Source organism: Homo sapiens, chromosome 9, assembly GCF_000001405.40.
Source record: "Homo sapiens chromosome 9, GRCh38.p14 Primary Assembly".
Taxonomy (NCBI): Eukaryota; Metazoa; Chordata; class Mammalia; order Primates; family Hominidae; genus Homo; species Homo sapiens.
In genome coordinates, this window is record NC_000009.12 from 116,567,492 (window position 1) to 116,586,982 (window position 19,491).

General features: G+C 42.4%; 1 protein-coding gene and 1 long non-coding RNA gene across 8 annotated transcripts in view; one reads left to right on the forward strand and one right to left on the reverse strand.

Moving 5' to 3' along the window:
- Window positions 1-19,491, reverse strand: part of ASTN2 (astrotactin 2) — a 991,946-nt gene that overhangs the window by 144,380 nt on the left and 828,075 nt on the right. The window lies entirely within an intron of this gene.
- On the forward strand, window positions 135-2,439 carry LOC107987014 (uncharacterized). The gene is made up of 3 exons (NR_171890.1): window positions 135-371; window positions 891-1,437; window positions 2,183-2,439. It is a non-coding gene; the product is annotated as an uncharacterized LOC107987014 (long non-coding RNA).

Consider the following 19,491-nt stretch of genomic DNA (forward strand, 5'->3'; position numbering starts at 1 on the left):
GGGTTCAGGGGGTGGATAGGGGCTCTCATGTCCCTAAAAATGTAGGCTCTGCCAGATGGGGAATAGTCACAGGAGGCTTGTGACATCAAAATGGCCTTGGAGGACCCTTCTGGCTGTAGCATGGAAGATGGATTGAAGGAGTGAAGGCAGAAGACAGCAAGACCAGTAAGAGGTGGTTTAAATAAGAGACATAAAGTAGTGGTGTGGGAACTATTTCACGAAGAAGATGAAGGAAGGACGGTTGGCAGGCAGAAGGCAGGACAGATCATACTACTAGTTATTGAATAACTGCTAGTTATTGAAACTGTACTGCCTGCCAGGCTGTATGCTAGGCACTTTCTCATTTTACACCCCTCTCCCAAAATGTCAAGGTAAGAGTTATTATCTCTGCATCCCAGATATGAAAACCAAGCCTCAGAGAGACTGTGCCTTTAATAATAACCATAATGAAACAGGTAGCAAAAATAGTAGCTAACATTCACTGAGCCTCTACTGTATACATGAATATTATTATCACCTCACTGTAAAGATGCGATTAAACAGCTAACAAATGGTGGAGCTGAAACTATAATTCAGGTACTTAGTCTCTTGGTAAAGGCCTAAGTATTCTTCTCTAGATGTCATTAATAATTCAGATGAAGCCCCCAAATGTGGGATATACTCTCATTTCTCCTTCTCACCAGGATATTAGAAAATGTATAATGCAAAAAAAATTAAGAAATGATTCTGAGATCCATTTAGCAGGTAGAAAACCTTCCTATTGGGACAAGGATGCTTTGCATTTCAATTCAATACTGTACTAGTGGACTAGCCTATAGTGAGCTCATCACATGGAAAGAGTTTTGGATATTTTTTTAAATTTTTAAATTTTAATTTTTATCTTTTTTTAGGAGATGTTAAGTAGATGAAAGACCAAGAAAAGCGAGGGAGAAAATTCAATATATTTGAGAACAAAGGCAGCCATTAACCTGTCCATCTTCAGAACCTGAATCGGTAGCCAAATCTCAGCAGACAGAGCTACGTAATGCCAGATAAATCTTCTTGCTGAATGAGAGACCCATCCTACCAGCATAAACAACATTTGAACACTCTAGCCCCCAGCCTTACCAGCCAGCTCTCCATTCTCTACACACAGAGTCTTTGTTGGGACACTCCAGGCCAGTTATTTCACCATCCTGAGTCTGGTCCCTCTCTGAGGCCCAGGGACATATATTCAGTTCAGGTTTGAATTAAGGAAAGATACTACTACCTTGATGGGGGATCAGGACCACAGGACCAAATTGAACCAGGCAAGACTGAAGGGGCCAAGGGATAGAGGATCCCCCTCCCGAAGGAGCCAACTGGAAGGCAACAATTGGATGGCCTGTTAAAGAAGAAAGAAGCTTAGGACAGGGAGAATGCCACTTTCCAGTATTACAAAAATATCCTTTAGGCAAGGTGAGGCCTTTTTTTACTCTGACACTATTTTTTTTTAAACCAACCCTGAAAGAAAAATGATAGGGTCAAGGTTGGTCCAAGGAACAGTAGGTAGGGAAGCAGATGAGAGGTTCAGAGCTCTGGAGTGTGAGCAAGATATTCTTCTTCTAGGCACCTGAGTTACCTTCTTTCTAAATCAGGGCGAAATGTCCCTTTTCATGTTTCCTGAGTAGTCAGGGAAGCAACGAACCAAAGTCATTGGGAATTAGAACTAAGAATCAGACGGGCCTCGTTTGCATGCCAATGGTGTCACTGGCTAGCCGTGCAACCCATGGCAAGCCACTGCAAGTCTCAGAGCTTTGGTTTGCTTGTGTGTGAAAATGACAAATATAGTGCAGGCCTAACAGAAGCATGGTGAACATCTGATGATGCAATATGTGCAAAGTGCTTAACGTAGTTCCTGGCACAATATTAAGTACTTCATAAATGTTTGCTGTTATGATTATCAATCAAAACACAGCAGTAATAAATTAAGGCATGTTATTAGACCTTAGCTTTCCTACCAGTAAAGAACTAGACAATCTCAAGTGTTCCTTCCAGCTCTGCTGTTTATCTGAAAATTCACGACAGACACTCAGTGATACAGAAATGTGTGCTCCAGACCATGTGAACTGGAGAACAGAATTTGGTTCTCTTCAGCTTCAATTCACATTTGGGTTCATGTGTTTTGCTGCCTTCCTTCTTTTCTCTACGTATTGACACCTAGGAAAACTCAAGATGCCAGAGATCCCTGACACCTGGCTCATATGGTAGGCTGCGTGATGATGGAGCCGAGAGCTGAACCGCCCAAGGACAGAGGGCCTCAGCAGGAACTTTGGGAATCAGCATATTGATACCTAAGTGGAGACCTCTTTCCAGACCCAGAAACTGGAGCATGCAAGGCCTTGGGGAAATGACCAGCAAGTTCATAGCCCAAGGTTTCTCTGACTGGTTGGAGAGTCTAATGTATTCCGTCATGCCGTCTAATTCAGAGTCTCCTTGCTTTGACTGTCTGTCTCCTGCTTCTGTTGGCTCTTGCTCAAGATGTGAAAAGTCATTGGAGATGCTTATTACCATGGGGTGGAAAAGTCAGGGGGCTTTGAAGCAGATTACTCGGTTCGAATCTGGGCTCCCTAACTTTGTTGTCTTGAGCAGGTGGTTTCACGTTTCTAGCCTTGCTTTCTTTATCTGAAGCATGAAGCTGATAATTTCTACTTTCCAAAGTTGTTTTATGAGCTTTAACTGAGATAACTGATATACAGTGCCCAGCACAGTTCATATAGTGGGTTTACAATTAATGTTCATTCTGCCCCTTCTTTCCTTATCAATATAAGAATAACCAAATCCTATATATTTACTTAACCCTTTCTCTCTTATTGTATAAGTTTTAAATTTTATATCTCTATCACCTATTGTTCTACAGGTTTTAACATGAGGGCTTTTAGTCTCTTTTTTTTTTTGAGACAGAATCTCACTCGGTCGCCCCGGCTCCAGGCTGGAGTGCAGTGGCATCATCTCGGCTCACTGCAAGCTCCGCCTCCCAGGTTCATGCCTTTCTCCTGCCTCAGCCTCTCGAGTAGCTGGGACTACCGGCGCCCGCCACCATGCCCGGCTAATTTTTTTTGTATTTTTAGTACAGACGGGGTTTCACCGTGTTAGCCAGGATGGTCTTGATCTCCTGACCTCGTGATCCACCCGCCTTGGCCTCCCAAAGTGCTGGGATTACAGGCGTGAGCCACCGCGCCCGGCTGAGTCTGTTATTTCTATATCCCAGCACCCTGCATTGATCTGGGCCAGGATGGTTGCTTGAGAAAGTGTGCTCATCTGAATCTGTTTCACTCAAAATCCTGTGATTCCAAGTAAGTTTTATTTGTTTAGTTACATAATAAGCAACCTTTGCTGAATCCTGTACCATCCTGACCTGTCCTGTCTTTTCTGGCAGAACAAGCTCTGTTAGGATCACTCACATGTTCTCCTTTTATTTTTTAAAAAAGGTATATTTTTAAAAGGAAGAAGGAGATACATCCTGAGAGTTTTGGTAATTGTTTCTTTGCAACATTTGCTGCCTAGAGAAAGTCAGATATGAACAGTAAGACACTCACAGGTCAGGATTAAATGAGATGGGGAAGATTGGAGCTGATCTCCCTGGAGATGAAATGGAAGCTGCAAGGACTCAGATATGATTCGGTGCCACTGCCCCAGATGAGACTGAGGCACAATCCCTGGCCCCACGCTGGTGGTTTCCTCTCCCTGGGGCACCATCAGCTCCTACTGTAGCCATCAAGTCTATGTGGTTTCCCCAAGGGAGCCACCTGAAATCACCTTGTTCTTTGCTATCATGACCGAGGCAGAGAGGGGAAAGAGACCAAGCTGAGCACTCAATCTGGACTCCAGCCCTCCTTCCCTGGGTCTTCTCACTTTTCTTCTATTCTGTCTCTTTTTCCATCTTTCACAACCCTTTCTCTTTCCCTATTTCTGGCCTCTCCCTCTTTTCTCTTTTAGAAACATTTACTGAATTACAAGTGCTTTTGATCCATGTGGAGTTATGTCCATACGGTGAGTGTGAGTATTTGGTGTGTGCTGTGCTGTGGGTGCTACGTGAGTGGATGCCATCTAATGTGTCTGTGTCTGTTTGTGCTGGGTGGATCCATGTGGCACACGGTATGTATATCTTTACAGTATGCCTGTGGGAAGGTGGCTATGTTTACGCATCTGTGTGCCTGTGCTGTTTATCTATGATACGCCTCTTGAGGCATCTGTCATGTGTTGAGTACAAGCTGTGTGTTGTCTGTGCGTGGCATGCTATCCCCATGGTGTGTAACTTTGTATGTGTTGTGGATCTACTGTATGTGTCTGTGTGCTTCCCGTGTGTGTGTGACCGTGTCTCTTTGTTATCTGCCTTTCGTTGGCTGCACATAGCTTGAATGTCCCTGTTGGGTGATGTGCTCACATGCATGTTTATATGTGTTGGTATCTGTGTGTTGCCTTTGTTTTTGTTTAGCTGGCTGAGGTGACTGCATTGTGTATACCTGTATGGGATGGATTGCATTCATTTGTGAGTCTGCACCCTATATGATTTCTCTAAATCCCCTGGCTGCATGCTGTGTCTGTGTGGGGTATGTTGCATTTGTTGTTTGTAGGTACAACTGCATATTCTGTGTGTTCCCCTGTGTCTCTGCCTCTGTGAAATGTGTCTGTGTGTTTTCCCTGCCAGCTCCTCCTCCCCTTCGGGTGCCCCAGCCTCTCTCCCTGCCTTCTCCTCCCCAGGCTGTGACCACTCTCAGCTGACACCTCCGCTGCTCTGGCAACCCAAGAACAGCCTGGAGAAAGGTCAGCTGGCCGCCTTCCCCAGGGCCTGCCTGGATCCTTGGACCCCAGTGTTGCGTGGTGTGGGAGCGCCCTCTGTTGGCTGTATGGGCCATGAACACCACTGGAAACAGACTTCCTCTTTCCCTTGCTGCTCACCCCTGAGACTTCCAGCCTTCTTAATAAGGGACTTTAGGAGAGGAATGGGTAGGGTCGCCTATAATTTGCCGTTGAAAGCGAGATGTTTTGGAGAATGAAAGAGGGTGTGAATAAGTGCACTGAGATACTGAGTATTCGGCAGATGCGTCTTAAGCAGATGGTGAGGAAGGCTTCCCTGACCGCCTACTTGGGTCTCAGCCCCATGGGCATAAGCCAACAAAATGTGTGCTAGCCCTCACTGGTGAAAGGGTCAGCTATTCCCAATTTATGTTTGAGGAAGTCAGAATCTCAAATCTATGCTTACCCAATGACTTCACGCTTTCCCTTGGGAATAATTTCCCAAGACCCCAATTTCCCCTTTGCAGCAGGGACCCAAGGTGGAGACCCAAGGGTTCCAGTTCCAGAAAGAGGGAGGACTGAAATGTTTCTAGGGGATTTAACAGAAAGAGGTCAAAGGCACTCTTGTGAGAAGAAAGGGAATAGTTATAGAGGTACCCAGGACTTGTAATGCCCCAGGTGCGTGACTCTGACAGCCTCAAGAGGAAGAGAAAGGTGCTGTGTGCACACATGTGGGTACATGCGTGCACACATGTGGGTACATGCACACACACACACACACACACATATATACACACACACACATCAGGAGGCAGAACATCCAACAGCCTGCATGGCTAATATCGTGGGGTTTGAGAATATACACATTTACTATTTCCTGCGTTATAGAAGAAACACAACCAAAGGCACCATTTTATGCAAAAACATGAGTTTTCATTGCATTCCTTGTGCTGGTGATTAAAGAAGAGGCTCTGATAAGCAATGGCTATTCTTTAACTCAGGATGACAGCTCCAGGTGAACCAAAAGACCACTTGGCCCAATTGGTCGAAAGTGTGTTCTTCAGAACATTACCTCCCATGAGACATTAATAGTTATTTGAAGGTGTGGCCAAATAAATTTGAAAAATACAGGATTAAATAAAGTTAAACAGATTTTTTTTCTCATGGGATATCTCAGAGCCTTTAATATGATAATGTCTTATGAATTTCTAAGAAAGGAGGAGACTGTACTCAGCATTTCACAAAAGATATGAATAATGGATTTTTTTTCCAGAATGTTATGGGACAAAATTCTAAATTTACACATGGGCAAAGCAAGACCCCAAGTAGCATAATTCAGTTATTATTAAATAACTATTTACTACAAGAATCATGTTTTTTGTTTGTTTGCTTTTGCTTTTGTGTGTTTGTTTTAGTTAATCTCTTTGGATCTTGTACTAACCTACACAGGTAGGTACTATGTTATCATGTTAAATGACAGATGAGAAGAGAGACTCAGAGAAGTGAAGTGGTTTGTCCCAAGTTATGGCATTGGTCAGTGACAGCAACACTCAATACCAGGCACCTCTCTATAAACCATATACAACTTCCACTTTGCCAACTCCTGTGAGTATGATTTTATAGAAAGTATAAAATGTGGCAGTTGTCCCCAAAGCCATACGTTGTACTTAGAATTGTTTTTAAAATCATATAAAAAAGAGAAACATGGTATAAAAAATGTGGACAAGAAGTGGCATTGTACATCCAAGGTGAGAGGACTGAGTGAGACCTGGGAGAATCGGGGAAAACTTCCCAGGGGAAGTGAATTTTAGCTATGCTTTGAAGGATAGAGGAAGCTTAGTTAGATCAAAGGTCAGCAACTTTTAAATATGAAGTAGCTGGTAGTAAATATTTTCTGCCTTGTGAGCCACACAGTCTCTGTTGCAAGTGCTTGACATTGCCATGTAGTGTGAAAACAGCCATAGATAATATGTAAATAAAAGGACATGGCTGTGTTCCAATAAAACTTTATCTACAAAACAGACAGCCAGCCCATGGGTCCTAACTTGCCAAGCCTTAAGTAAGAAGGAAAAAGGTAGGAAATGTGGCCTTTTTTGGCTACAGGAATCACTTTTTAAAAGATAGTGAGCAGTATACTCAAAGGCCAGTGCCAGGCCCCAGACCTGCTCATAACTGTTCCCTTTCTGTCTCCCACTCCACCCAACCCCACTTCAATTGTGTTCTAAGCCCTGAGGGTGAGCTTATTGCAGCTATGCAAAGAGAAAGCTGCCTGCATTTGAGATAAGCTGAATAAACAGCTCACTGATCCCAGTGGAAGGTGCTTGTGAACATGTGCCTGGATTTAGTCTGTTGGGAAGGCAGAGAAAGACAACAAATCTAGTTTCCTCTTGAAAAAGAGATTGGCCTTTTCTCCTTTCAATAAGTCAAGGCCAATGGTAAAATGCTTGCCCGTTTCTACCGACTGTGTGTGGACCACCTCCCCCTTTGCAGGTAGCAAAGCCAACGTGCAGAAGTCCCAGTTTCATCAGATGTATCAGGGCAACATCTCTGCTATTTTATCTGTAGCACAGACCCCATGATGTTATTCCTTTGCACATTAAACTTCAGTAACCCTCCAACTGGTACGGGCTCAAAATCAAGTGCAGCAGCCTGGCATTCAATGAAAGACAATGTACAGCAGATTTCAAGTTAAGACTCTATCCTTACTCCCTTCAGCATCCATACCAACTAACCTACATTTGTCTTGGTGTCTCTTGTCCTTGTGCATGATTCACAAGCTACAACCTTCAGACTTTTGTACTTGCAATTAGAACACCCTTCTTTCTTCGTTTCATTCAAGTCCTACCTTGTCCTTCAAGGCTCTACTTTTAATTCCTTTTGCTTGGTGATGACACCTGTATTTACCTCTAAATTACCACAACCCAGATACTGCAGTATCACTTTTATTGGCTTACCTCTTTTTTTCATAGTAAAATTATGTTTTTAATAATTATAAAAATACAAACTTACTGATTAAAAAACTCAAGTGTTCTGGAATGTATAATTAAAAAAAAAAGAAAGAAAAATTCAGAAGGATGGTAAGGTCCAAAAAGATGAACAAAGGTAATATGGCACAGTCTTTCAGGGAATGCAACTGCTTTGGTGTGGATGAGTACAGGATCCCTACAGAGGAGTGATGAGAAGTGAGGCTGGGGAGATGGCAGGATCCAGACCACCTTAAATTCTCTAGCTTCCATTGAGTCTTAATTTATAGATCATTAGAGAAAAAGCACATCTTTACTAAGCATCTAGGTTGACACATAGTCAGCAATCAATGTATCTTTGTTATATTAATATAAGGTCTTGGGGTCCTAGGCTAAGAAAGCACCCCAAGTGGATTTCCTAACATTGTTCATATAGAAAAGGCACTGTCTGAGAGAGTCTGCAGTAGAAAGTTCAGGGGGTGCTGACTACTGCAGATAGTCCCAAAAGCAAGTTCCTTAATCATTTTCCCCTCAAAATATTGACTGTGTGCCTCTCCCTGTATATTGGACTGTACACTAAAGCTAGGCAGGAGAATGTGAACAGATTCATTGCATAGTGAGCTGATAAGGGAAATGAGAATACATGCTGGGGAGTTATCCAGCTAAAGGGCAACTCTCTGGCAATGTGCTAAAAGGAGAAAAGCTCAGGGCACTGGTGATGGGGAGAGGAAGAGGGAGGAGGAAGCTCATGAGTGGCCCTTTGTCCCAACACTGACCTTCCCAACCTGGGAAGCATTTTACAAAGTAGCAGAATTATAAGTTTCAATGAACCCAAAAGGTTATTGAGCGCCCCACCCCTCTATTTGCATTTGGGTGCCATTTGGCCTCACTTTGAACTCTCCCTTTTACAGGGAATTCATCCTATATCCAGGAGGCCGGTGTGGAGCAGTGGCCAGATGCAGCTGTGGACAATGAAAAGAGGAAGGAGGACTGATCAGTCCCCTAAGAAGCAGTTACTAATATGTCAGGCACTGACTAGGCATACGACCTGGTGTTTCACATATCTCTCATGACAACCTTGTGAATGGGGATTAATATCCCTATTATACATGCAAGAAAACTGGGGCTCAGGGATATTGAGTTATTTGACCTAATTACAAATCTGGTAAGCAGTAGCTGGAATTCAAACTCAGGATGTTCTACCACCCAAGCCCATAGTATTTTAGCCAAAACAAAGAGCTTCCCATCAAACCAAGAAAAGGCAAGATGATTTAGGTGGCCCCCATGGGAGGCCAGGGTAGGAGGGGATGATCCTACAGGCTGGCACTGCCACAGGGAGAGCATGAGAGGATGCTAGGCCGGGACAGGAATGCAGGAAGTGCTTCAGGACAGGATTACAGCACACTAGCAAGAACGGCCCTGCTGGCTCATGTGTTGTTGGTACTCTGTGTGCCTGTGCCTGTGCCTGCCCCACAATGAACGTTTCGGGCATTCTCCCCTTCTTACCCCCTTCCCAAATCTCAAATAAAAGAGGGAAAGAGTACAGCTCAGGGTGTACAGAAGTGTTCTGGCTTGATCCCATAATCACACAAAGCAAGCCCCACCTTGGATCTTTTACCATCTCTCCTTTGAAAACCATCAGAAAGCTCATCCCACCCTTACCTTGCTTATAAAGCACTTTTATCCTTTCAACAATCATCATCTCTTCCCTGGGCCAGGCACTAGGAATACCAAAAACAACACCAACAATAACAGTAAACATTTATAGGGTTCTTCCTGTGTGCCAGGAGCTCTGCTAAGGACTTTATGTGCATTTTCTTACTTAATCCTAACAACAACCTTGTGAATAGATGCTGTGGTTATTTCCATTTTACAGATGAGGAAACTGAGGCTCAGACTAATTCATCCAAAGTCACGCACAGTTGGTGATGGGGCTAGGATCTGAAATCAGAATCCAAGTGCAGAACTACAGTGACTTTCAAAGAACTAACTCAGAGGCCAGTAAAATGGGAAGACACAAGAATACATGTTATAGGCCAGGCACGGTGGCTCATGCCTGTAACCTCAGCATTTTGGGTAGTCAAGGTGACTGAATTGCTTGAGCTCAAGAGTTGCAGACCAGCCTGGGAAACATGGAAAAACCCCATCTCTATAAAACAAAATACAAAAATTAGCTGGGTGTGGTGGCTTGTGCCTGTTGTCCCAGCTATGCTGGGGGGCTGAGGCAGGATCACTTGAGCCCGGGGGAGGTCAAGGCTGCAGTGAGCTGAGATCATGCCACCACACTCCAGCATGGGCAACAGAATGAAACTGTGTCTCAAAAAAAAAAGAAAAAGAAAAAGAAAAAAGAATGTATGTTATGATCCAGTGTGATGAGCACTGGGTCTATGAAAACAGTGTCTGAGTTGAGTTGAAGAGAACAAAAAAAGGGAGAACTAATCCTGTGAAAAGTACTTAGTTTATGCCAAGTGCTGAACAAGTGATGTTAGTTATCTCATCTAATTTTTCCTTTGACCCTGTGGAGAAGGGATTGATGGTCCCTATTTTACAGATGAGCAACTTGAAGCTAGAAGGGATAGAATCATTGATTTAAATTATCAATCCAATAATTAGGGGGCTTGTAGGTGAATCTCTTCTGATAATCTCAGGTTGAGGTAGAAGGGCATTTCAGCAGAGGGATTTAAACTTGCAGTGACCAGAGATAAGGGTGGGCAGGGCAGAGCCAGGGGATGGGAGAGGAGATCATTGGGGGATGCAAGAAGGGGTAAGATTTTGGAGAATGTTATAAACCACACTAAGAAACGGGAACCTTACTCTGAAGGCAAAAGATAATTATGAAGGGCTTTAGGATCCTTTCTCTGACTACAGAGTGGAAAGTGAACCAGAGAGGTAATAGGGGAAGAATGAATGGAGACAGGGAGACTAGTTAAGAAAACATTTACAATAACCCAGAAGAGCAATGATGAGGACAGGGGCTCAGGCTAAGGGGCAGTGAGCCCAGAGACGACAGGACAAGTGTCAGAGATACTGTGTTGAATTCCATTTGATTGACTGAAAAATTGAGTCTCAGGAAACTAAGTCCCCATCATTGTTAAAACTAGGACCCAAACTCTGTTTTTCTGATTCTGAGGATCCTTTCTGGAACTACTCACGTCCTTTTTTCTAGAATTCTCTCTCTCACTCACTCCTGTAACAATGTGAATATCTACCACGGGCTACACCTCCTGACAAATGTTCTAAGAACATTTTTAATTCTTATAATAATCACTAGATATTATGAGAATTATAATCCTCATTTTGAAATTATGAAATCAGAATTCCAGAAATGCAAAAAAAAAATGTGTCTACAACCATGTAAATAGGAAGTAGCAGAGTCAGGATTTGAACCCAGGCCGTCTGGCTCCAACGTGTGTGTGTGTGTGTGTGTGTGTGTGTGTGTGTGTGTGTGTGTGTGTTTCTACTGTACAGTACCAATCCCTGAAACAACACCATTGTTTTTCCCCCAAACTCTACCTGTCCGACTCCACTTTATTTTAAAAAGCTGCGTTTTTCAAATGGAAAAAAAAAATACCAACTGAGGAAACCTAATATGTAATACATTCTTGGATAAAGTTATTATTGTCCACAGAATTACAGAAGGCTCTGAGCAGCAGAAAAACAGCCTGGAAATTTCATGCTTTAAAAACTTCCAAATATTTTTGTATTATTATTTACTTATTTTCTTAGGAAGTAAATTCCGCACTTAGAGGAAGAGGGGTGGGCAAGAAGTGTCCACATTCACAGGTATTTGTTCTCAAGAAGTGAGGCACCTGTGATTCTCAAAATAGTAGAGTCGAAAGGAAAAAAAAAAGGTAAGGCACCTGGAAAAACCACAGCCTCCAAGTATTGATTTGCTACTGTGGGATGACTACACCCACTAACTCATTTAGGTGTCTCAACATTTGTAGGAGGGTGGTACTTATATCTCTATTTTACAAATGGGGCAATCAATGCCTGGAAAGGTGAAGTGACTTGCCCAGTGTCATCCAGATGAAAATGCAGGAAGATACGATCCAAACACAGGATCTGTCTGGAAGATGTGATTCAAACACTGGATCTGTCTGTCATAAAGTGTTTTCTGTTTCTGCTGCAATCTACCACAACCTCCTTGATGGTTAGCCTAGCTCATATCTTGCTTTCTCATGACCGATGTTATGAGAAGGTAACGGATACAACCATTATCAGGGTATAATGTGAGAAGCAGAGCAAACACCACCCCTCCGAAGCCTACAACATTTTCTCTTACCATCTTGCTGTCAGAAATTCCACTGTGAGAAAGTCATCTTTATGAAAGAGTGAAAGGAACATTATACTTAGTGTCTGGCCCTAAGGGCTAACCCTTGCTCCAGCCAGGCGCAATGGTACATGCCTGTAGACCCAGCGGCTTGAGAGGCTGAGGTGGGAGAATCACTTAAGCCCAGGAATTTGAGACCAGACTGGGCAATATAGTGAGACCCCATCTCAAAGTAAATAAATAAATACATAAAATAAAATAACCCCGGCTCTGCTGTGCCATAGGTGTGGGACTATGGGCAAACAATTCCCCCTCACTGGCCCTAAGTCACACCTAAGTCACATTATCTTTTTTTTTGAAGAGTCTTGCTCTGTCACCCAGGCTGGAGTGCAGTGGCGCGATCTCTGCTCACTGCAACCTCCGCCTCCTGGATTCAAGCAATTCTCCTGCCTCGGCCTCCTGAGTAGCTGGGATTACAGGCACGTGCCACCACGCCCGGCTAACTTTTGTATTTTTAGTAGAGACGGGATTTCACCATGTTGATCAGGTTGGTCTCAAACTCCTGACTTCGTGATCCACCCACCTTGGCCTCCCAAAGTGCTGGGATTACAGGCGTGAGCCCCCGCACCCGGCCAGTCACATTATCTTTAAAGTAAGAAAGTTAGAAGATAACTAGAGGCCCTTCGTTGTTTCACATTTTGGGACATTAGCAGCTCAGAGGAAATACACTGGATTAGTTCTCAGAGCAAAGGTGAACATATACAGAGCAGAAGAGGCAGAGGTATGGGGCAGGGGAGAGGAAACAGGAAGACTTGAAATAAGGAGTAGGTCTCTAATAGAGGGGCAAGAGGTAGCCCAAGGTGACAGCTCTGCCCCCTTGTCCACAACCTTGCTGACAAGATTCATCCCACATCAAGGACCCATGGCCCTGGGAGAACATTGATCAGGGGTTATTAGAATCTGGGGTGAGAAAAGGGGAGCAGAAGACAGCCAGCAAAAAATCTTCCAGTTACTCTGAATACCCTGTGACACCAGGCTGTGTTCTAAACCTGTGCTTTGCTGCAGGGCTGCTAAGCTGGTGGCAAGGGATGGCCAGCCATAATTGCAGAACCAGCCTAGTCTTCCCGCTCTCTTTTTCTGGCTGCCATTTTCACATGAAAACCATAAAAGATCCCAGAAGTGGGAGGTGCACTTAATGGGTTTTTTTGGCACCAAGAAATTAATCTTTTTTAAACCAAAGGGATTTTTTTTTCTTTCCTAAAGATCTTTGGCAAACAGAAGCTAAATTGCTTCCAGACCTCATGAAAGGTATTTTGTGCAAACGAGGTGTGATTTACACTTCCTTTAATTAGTCTGAACCCTGGAAAAAGAGAGAAATAATAGAAAACAAGAGCTATGTAGAAAACAAGTCCAAACAGCCCTAAAATAACAGTTTTGTGAAAGCATCAGTTGAGGGTGTTAGAAGGAGACCAACAACAAAAAAAATCCTTCTAATTCTGGGAGTGGAGCAATTACAAGTGAATTGAAGTTTTGTTGGACTCTTTTCCCTGGGGATGGGGGTGGGGAGAAAGTTTGGCAGAAATGAGCCTTAGTGTTCTCAGAGTGAGTTTCAAGTTCTGGTTGACCTTCCTGCCGTTAAGCTTCAGTCTTTTCTGAGGGCATTTGGGGTCTAGGAAGCCAGAGAGTCAGGGAAACAAAAAGACAGTGCTGCTTGCTATCATGGATATTTTGCCATCAAGCTTGTCTCAGCTGGATGGCAACATGGCATTTTGGAAGGGGAGTGGCCTCTGGAATCACAGACCTGGGTTCAAATTTTGGCTCTGCCATTTACCACCACCATGACCTGGAAACTTACATCTCCAATCAGTTGACCACTACCTTACTTCTTTAAGGCTTCTTTCCCTGGTTACCTGGTGCCCCAGTTCCCGTAGTCATTCTATCATGTTGCTCCTGCATTGTCCTCAGTTTCAAGCCCACTTCTCCTTTTGGTCAGTTGGCTTTATCAAGATAATATATAGACATGCATTGTTTCACCTTTAACCCGACAACCCCCCAAATTCTATTGCCCAGACGGATATTCTTCCTTAGTTCTGGTCCTCATATCCAATTGTCTTGCCACTTTGCACTGACATATTGCATGATCTGAGCTAATCTTGCCTCATCTCTATGCAAAATGGGAAAGTTGAGTGAGATGGTCTCTGAGCATATCCTTGCTCTGACCCTTTGTGGCAACTCCACTGTGATCATTTTTCTTCATTCATTCATCTCTTCTTAATTAGTTCACTTATAGTCTACCACAATCTCTGGACCCATCCACACAGCCTAGGTCTAAGAGCCCTTGTAGGAGTTTAAGTTTATTCAGACAATACTGGACACAGCAAGAACGGCTGCAGGGGTGAATCTTATCTTTAACTTTAACTAATCCCATCCTTTCTGACTATTCTTTCCCCAGGGAGGTGGAAGGGGAGAAAAAGAAACAAAAAACTACCTTTTGGGCAAAAGGAATGGAATGGCCAAGGCTACATTATATACAAGCCAAAAGAACAATTTCCATTGACCTTGAGGAATGTGTAAGGGCAAAGTCATAAGCCGAGTTTAATTGATAATTTCACTGTCCATATGTGAAGAAAGAGCAATGAACCACAAGACTTGGGCTCAAGGCCCAGCTCTGCCTCTAACATGCTGCAGGACCTAGGATCAGTCCTTTCCTGTCTCCAGGACTCAATTTTCTTGCTATACAATGAAGGGATTGTACGGAGTGATCTACATGGACTAGCAGCTCTAAGGTTTGTAAGACTGTATTATAAACTTTGAAGAGAATGAGGGAAGGGTCCAAGGATTCTCCTTTGCAGCTTTCCTAGAAAACCATGTATCTTCCCCATGAAAGGAAGAATACAAATAATGATGGTCAAATTTACTGAATGCCTATTATGTGCCACATACTAATGTCCATAGTTAAGAGTCAAACTAAGACCCAAAGCCAAAAGAAAGTATTGTACCCAAGGCCACATAACTAGTAAGTGATGTAACTGAGACTTCAGATATCAAACTAACTCCAAGCCTGTGCTGAACACCGTTCTCTTCATCTACCCAGCCACTTTTTGTTGTTATTGTACCTTTGTTTGTTTATTCTTCCATTCACTCATGCTACCAATGTTCCCTAAGTACTTTCTCTGTGCACGAAACTGTGTAAACACCAGTAAGCATGAGAAAAGATCTATCAGGAAGTTCACAGTTGAGCAAAAGAAACAAGAAACCGTGATCAGGAGGTTTAGAAAAGTTATCTTTCTTTCCAAAGCACCATTCTGATTATGTTTACGATCCTCAAAAGGCTTCAAAGGTTCCCCTTTTCCTACAGGATAAAGTCCAAGTAGCTTAGCCTGTTTTCTTATCCCTCTGAGATCTGGTCCCTGTCTTGTCTCCTCTCGACATCATTCATTCAACATTTGTTAAGTGCTGACTATGTGCCAGACACTGTACCAGAGTCTTGGAATGCAATGCTGAGTGGCACAGACTTAGGCCCTGCTCTCCTGGAGCTTGCAGATATTAATCAAATTATCACACTGATACAGAATTAGGCAATCCTTTAAACTTCCAGTGGTCCAGCCCCACTTGATTCAGGATCCTTCCTTCCAGCAGAGGTTCCCAGCCCAGGAAGTACATAGTCATGCAGTTCTCCTTGGACTCTTTAGATAACCAGTTGATCTTTAATAAAGTGATTTGTCTAATTAATCAACCAGGAACATCTGCTTCTGAAGAGAGAACTTTTCTTGGATCCCATGAATAAATGTTTATTTTATTTTAACATAGTTTTTCAACAACAGGTTAAAATTGCTGGCTACACACTACTATGGAATGCCATGATCTCCCTCCAGAGGAGTCTCTGCTTAAAGTTAATTGCTTATTACTTATGTTCCCAATTTAATCCTAAATTTCAAGAAGGCAGAGTTTTTGCCTATTCTTGCTCATCATCGAATACCCAGCACTTTGCCCAGTGCTAGGCACGCTGTTCTGTACATGTGCTGGTTAGGCATCCTTAACTACATAAAGCCTTAATTCAAAATGAGACTGTGGCAGACATAGATCCTTACCTTAAAAAAAAAAAAAAGTTTTCAGAAGGTGAAACAGAGCCTGAGAGGAAAAGCAACTTTCCAAAAGCCACAGAGAAAGTTGATAGCTTAATTGAAGTTGGAACCAAAGAGAACCAGAAGTCCTGAACTCCTGCTATACCACACCCACTCACACACCTTGAGTCTGAAATGGCAAGGAGGACAGGTCCTCAAAGCAAAAAGGTGCATAACTCGAGGCAGACAGTCTCCCATCCCAAGCTTCTGTTGTACATGAATTTACATCAGAGAGTCACTGAGCCGACTCTTTTAGATGTAGAAGAGACCATCTTCATGGGAGAAACTCTTGCCTGCCCCCAAACAAGACCTCTGACTGAGGAATATATTCAATCACTCCCTCTAACCCAAACTCCCCAAAACACTATTTCCTATTATGTCTCCATAACCAAATTCAACCCACCCAAATCTCAAGATTAGATCTGTGAGCTCACAAAGGCCTAATCACCCAATTAAGAGGAGGAAAACCTGATCCTTTCTAAACAAAGTGAAATGTGAGGTAACCCAGTTGCTGAGATTAAGTCTCACTCAGGAAGAAGCAAAGGAGCTAGGAGAGAATGGGTGGGTCATTCATTAAACGGAATTTTCCAGGAAATTTGAGTGATGTGTCTCCCCAGATCTCAGTGTTCCAGGCCCCAGAACAATGCTGGAGGCAAGGCCCTGGCTTTAGGAGGACCATGGGGGTGAAGACAGCATTACTCTCCTTGCCCGAAATCCCTAGGTACTATCTGGGGCATTCTGATCTCTCACTGGACAAATGGCCTGCTATCAATGATGAACTTTATACTCAGGCCCAAAAAATTCCAAGAGAAAAGTGCTTAGAAAGATAAACTATAGCCCACTACCATCATTTCAATAGACTCAGAAAATTCAACATCCATTTCAAATGGAAACAAAACAAAGCTTTTGCAGCAAACTAGAAATAGAAGATACCTCCTTCCATGTAATAAAGGGCATATACCATAAAAAAATACAACTAGCATTATACTTAATGGTGAAAGACTAAACGTCTAAAATTAGAAAAAAGGCAAAGATGTCTGTTCTTACCACTTCTGTTCATATAGTACTAAAAGTCCTAGCTACAGCAATTAGACAAGTAATAAATAAATAAAAGTCATCCAAATTGGAAAGGAAGAAGTATAATTGTCTCTGTTTGCAGATGACATGATCATACATATAGAACACTTTAGGAAGAACTGAGTTTTCCAACACTGGAGGCATGTTACCAGTGCATGTTCAAGGGCATACAAAAATGTTAAAGAGAAAGCAAGACTAGATGATCTCTTAAGATCCTTCCAACTCTGATACAGAAGAGGTACTCCAAGACAAAGAATGGAGTATGCCAAATAAACGGTAGAGAGAATGAGTGAGTGCACTATGTTGAGAAGGAAAAGACTTTGTGCTGAAAGGGTCAAGAAGCCTTTGTGGAAGAAGCAACACTTGAGTAGTTTTGATCTAGACTATGGTCTATAAGAACAAGCACTGTGCTGGGCATAAGACTGACCTGGTTTTATATATATATAAAAATTATCTGGTTCAGGAATTGAAAGACAGTTTGGCATACCGTTAAGGGCAAGGACTCAGATAGACCTGGATTCAAATCCCAATTCTGCCTTAGACAAGTGATTTCTCCTGACAGAGCATCAATTTTCTCCTCTTCAATATGAGAATAACAACTTCTAGCTTATAGAATTGCTGGAAGAATTTGTGAAAATGTATTTGATGTTCCCAGTAGAGTGCCTGTCATACAGATGTGTGCAGTATGTAATTGGTAGTGATTACTCTGAGAAGGTGTTTGGACTTTGGTTAATTACTTACTGATTTCTGGAATGAGACCTTTATGACTGATACAAAAATGGACACATAAACCAATGGAACAGAATAGAGAACTCAGAAATAAAACCATACACCCAAGCCATCTGGTCTTCTACAAAGTTGACAAAAGTAAGAAATGAAGAAAGGACTCCTTATTCAGTAAATGGTGCTGGGATAGCTGGCTAGCCACATGCAGAAGAATAAAACTGGGCCCTTACCTTTCACCATATACAAAAATTAACTCAAGATGGATTAAAGATTTAAATTTAAGTCCTCCAACTATAAGAATCCTAGAAGAAAACCTATAAAACACCATTCTCAATGTCAGCCTTGGGAAAGAATTTATGATTAAGTCTTCAAATGCAGCTGCAACAAAAACAAAAATTGACAGTGGGATCTAATTAAAGAGCTTTCGCACAGCAAAAGAAATTATCAATAAACAGACAACCTACAGAATGAAAGAAAATATTCAAACTATGCATCCAACAGAAGTCTAATATTCAGACTCTGTAAGAAACTTAATAAGCAAAAAACAAATAACTCCAATAAAAAAATGGGCAAAAGACATTAACAGACACTTCTGAAAAGAAGACACTCAAGCAGCCAATAAACATGAAAAACTGCTCCACATTACTAGTCATCAGAGAAACAGAAATCAAAACCACAATTGCGTGCTATCTCACACTAGTCAGAATGGCTATTATCAAAAAGTCAAAAAACAACAGATGCTGATGAGGCTGTACAGAAAGGGGAACACTTATTCACTGTTGGTGAGAATGTAAATTGGTTAAGCCACTGTGGAAAGTAGTTTGGAGATTTCTCAAAGAACTTAGAATTATCATTCAACCCAGCAATCCCATTACTGGGTATATATCCAAAAGAAAATAAATCCTTCTACAAAAAAGACATCTATGTTTCTGTGTTCATTGGAGCACTATTCACAATAACAAAGACATGGAATCAACCTAGGTGCCCATCAACAGTGGACTGGATAAAGAAAATGTAGTACATACACACCACAGAATACTACACAGCCTTAAAAAAGAATGAACTCATGTTCTTTGCAGCATCATAGATGCAGCTGGAGGCGATTATCCTAAGCAAATTAATGCAGGAACAGGAAACTAAATATTTGTGTTCTCACTTATAAGTGGGAGCTTAACATTGAGTACCCATGGGCATAAAGATAGCAACAATAGACACTGGGCACTATAGGAAGGGGGAGGGAGGGAGAGATCCGGCTCAAAAACTACCTATTGGGTACTATGCTCACTACCTGGGTGATGGAATCATTCATATCCCAAACCTCAGCATCATGTAGTAGAGCTATGTAATAAACCTGAACATGTACCCCTTGAATCCAAAAATCTAAAATACCAGTTGAAATTCACACACACACACATACATACACACACACACACACACACACACACACACGTATGTATATATAATAATGAGATCTTAATGAGATCTTTATGGACAAAATCCTGACAGTGACTTTGAGTTTAGAGAGGAGCCACGCTCTCAAGTTGAAGATTCTGCTAACTCATCAGCAACT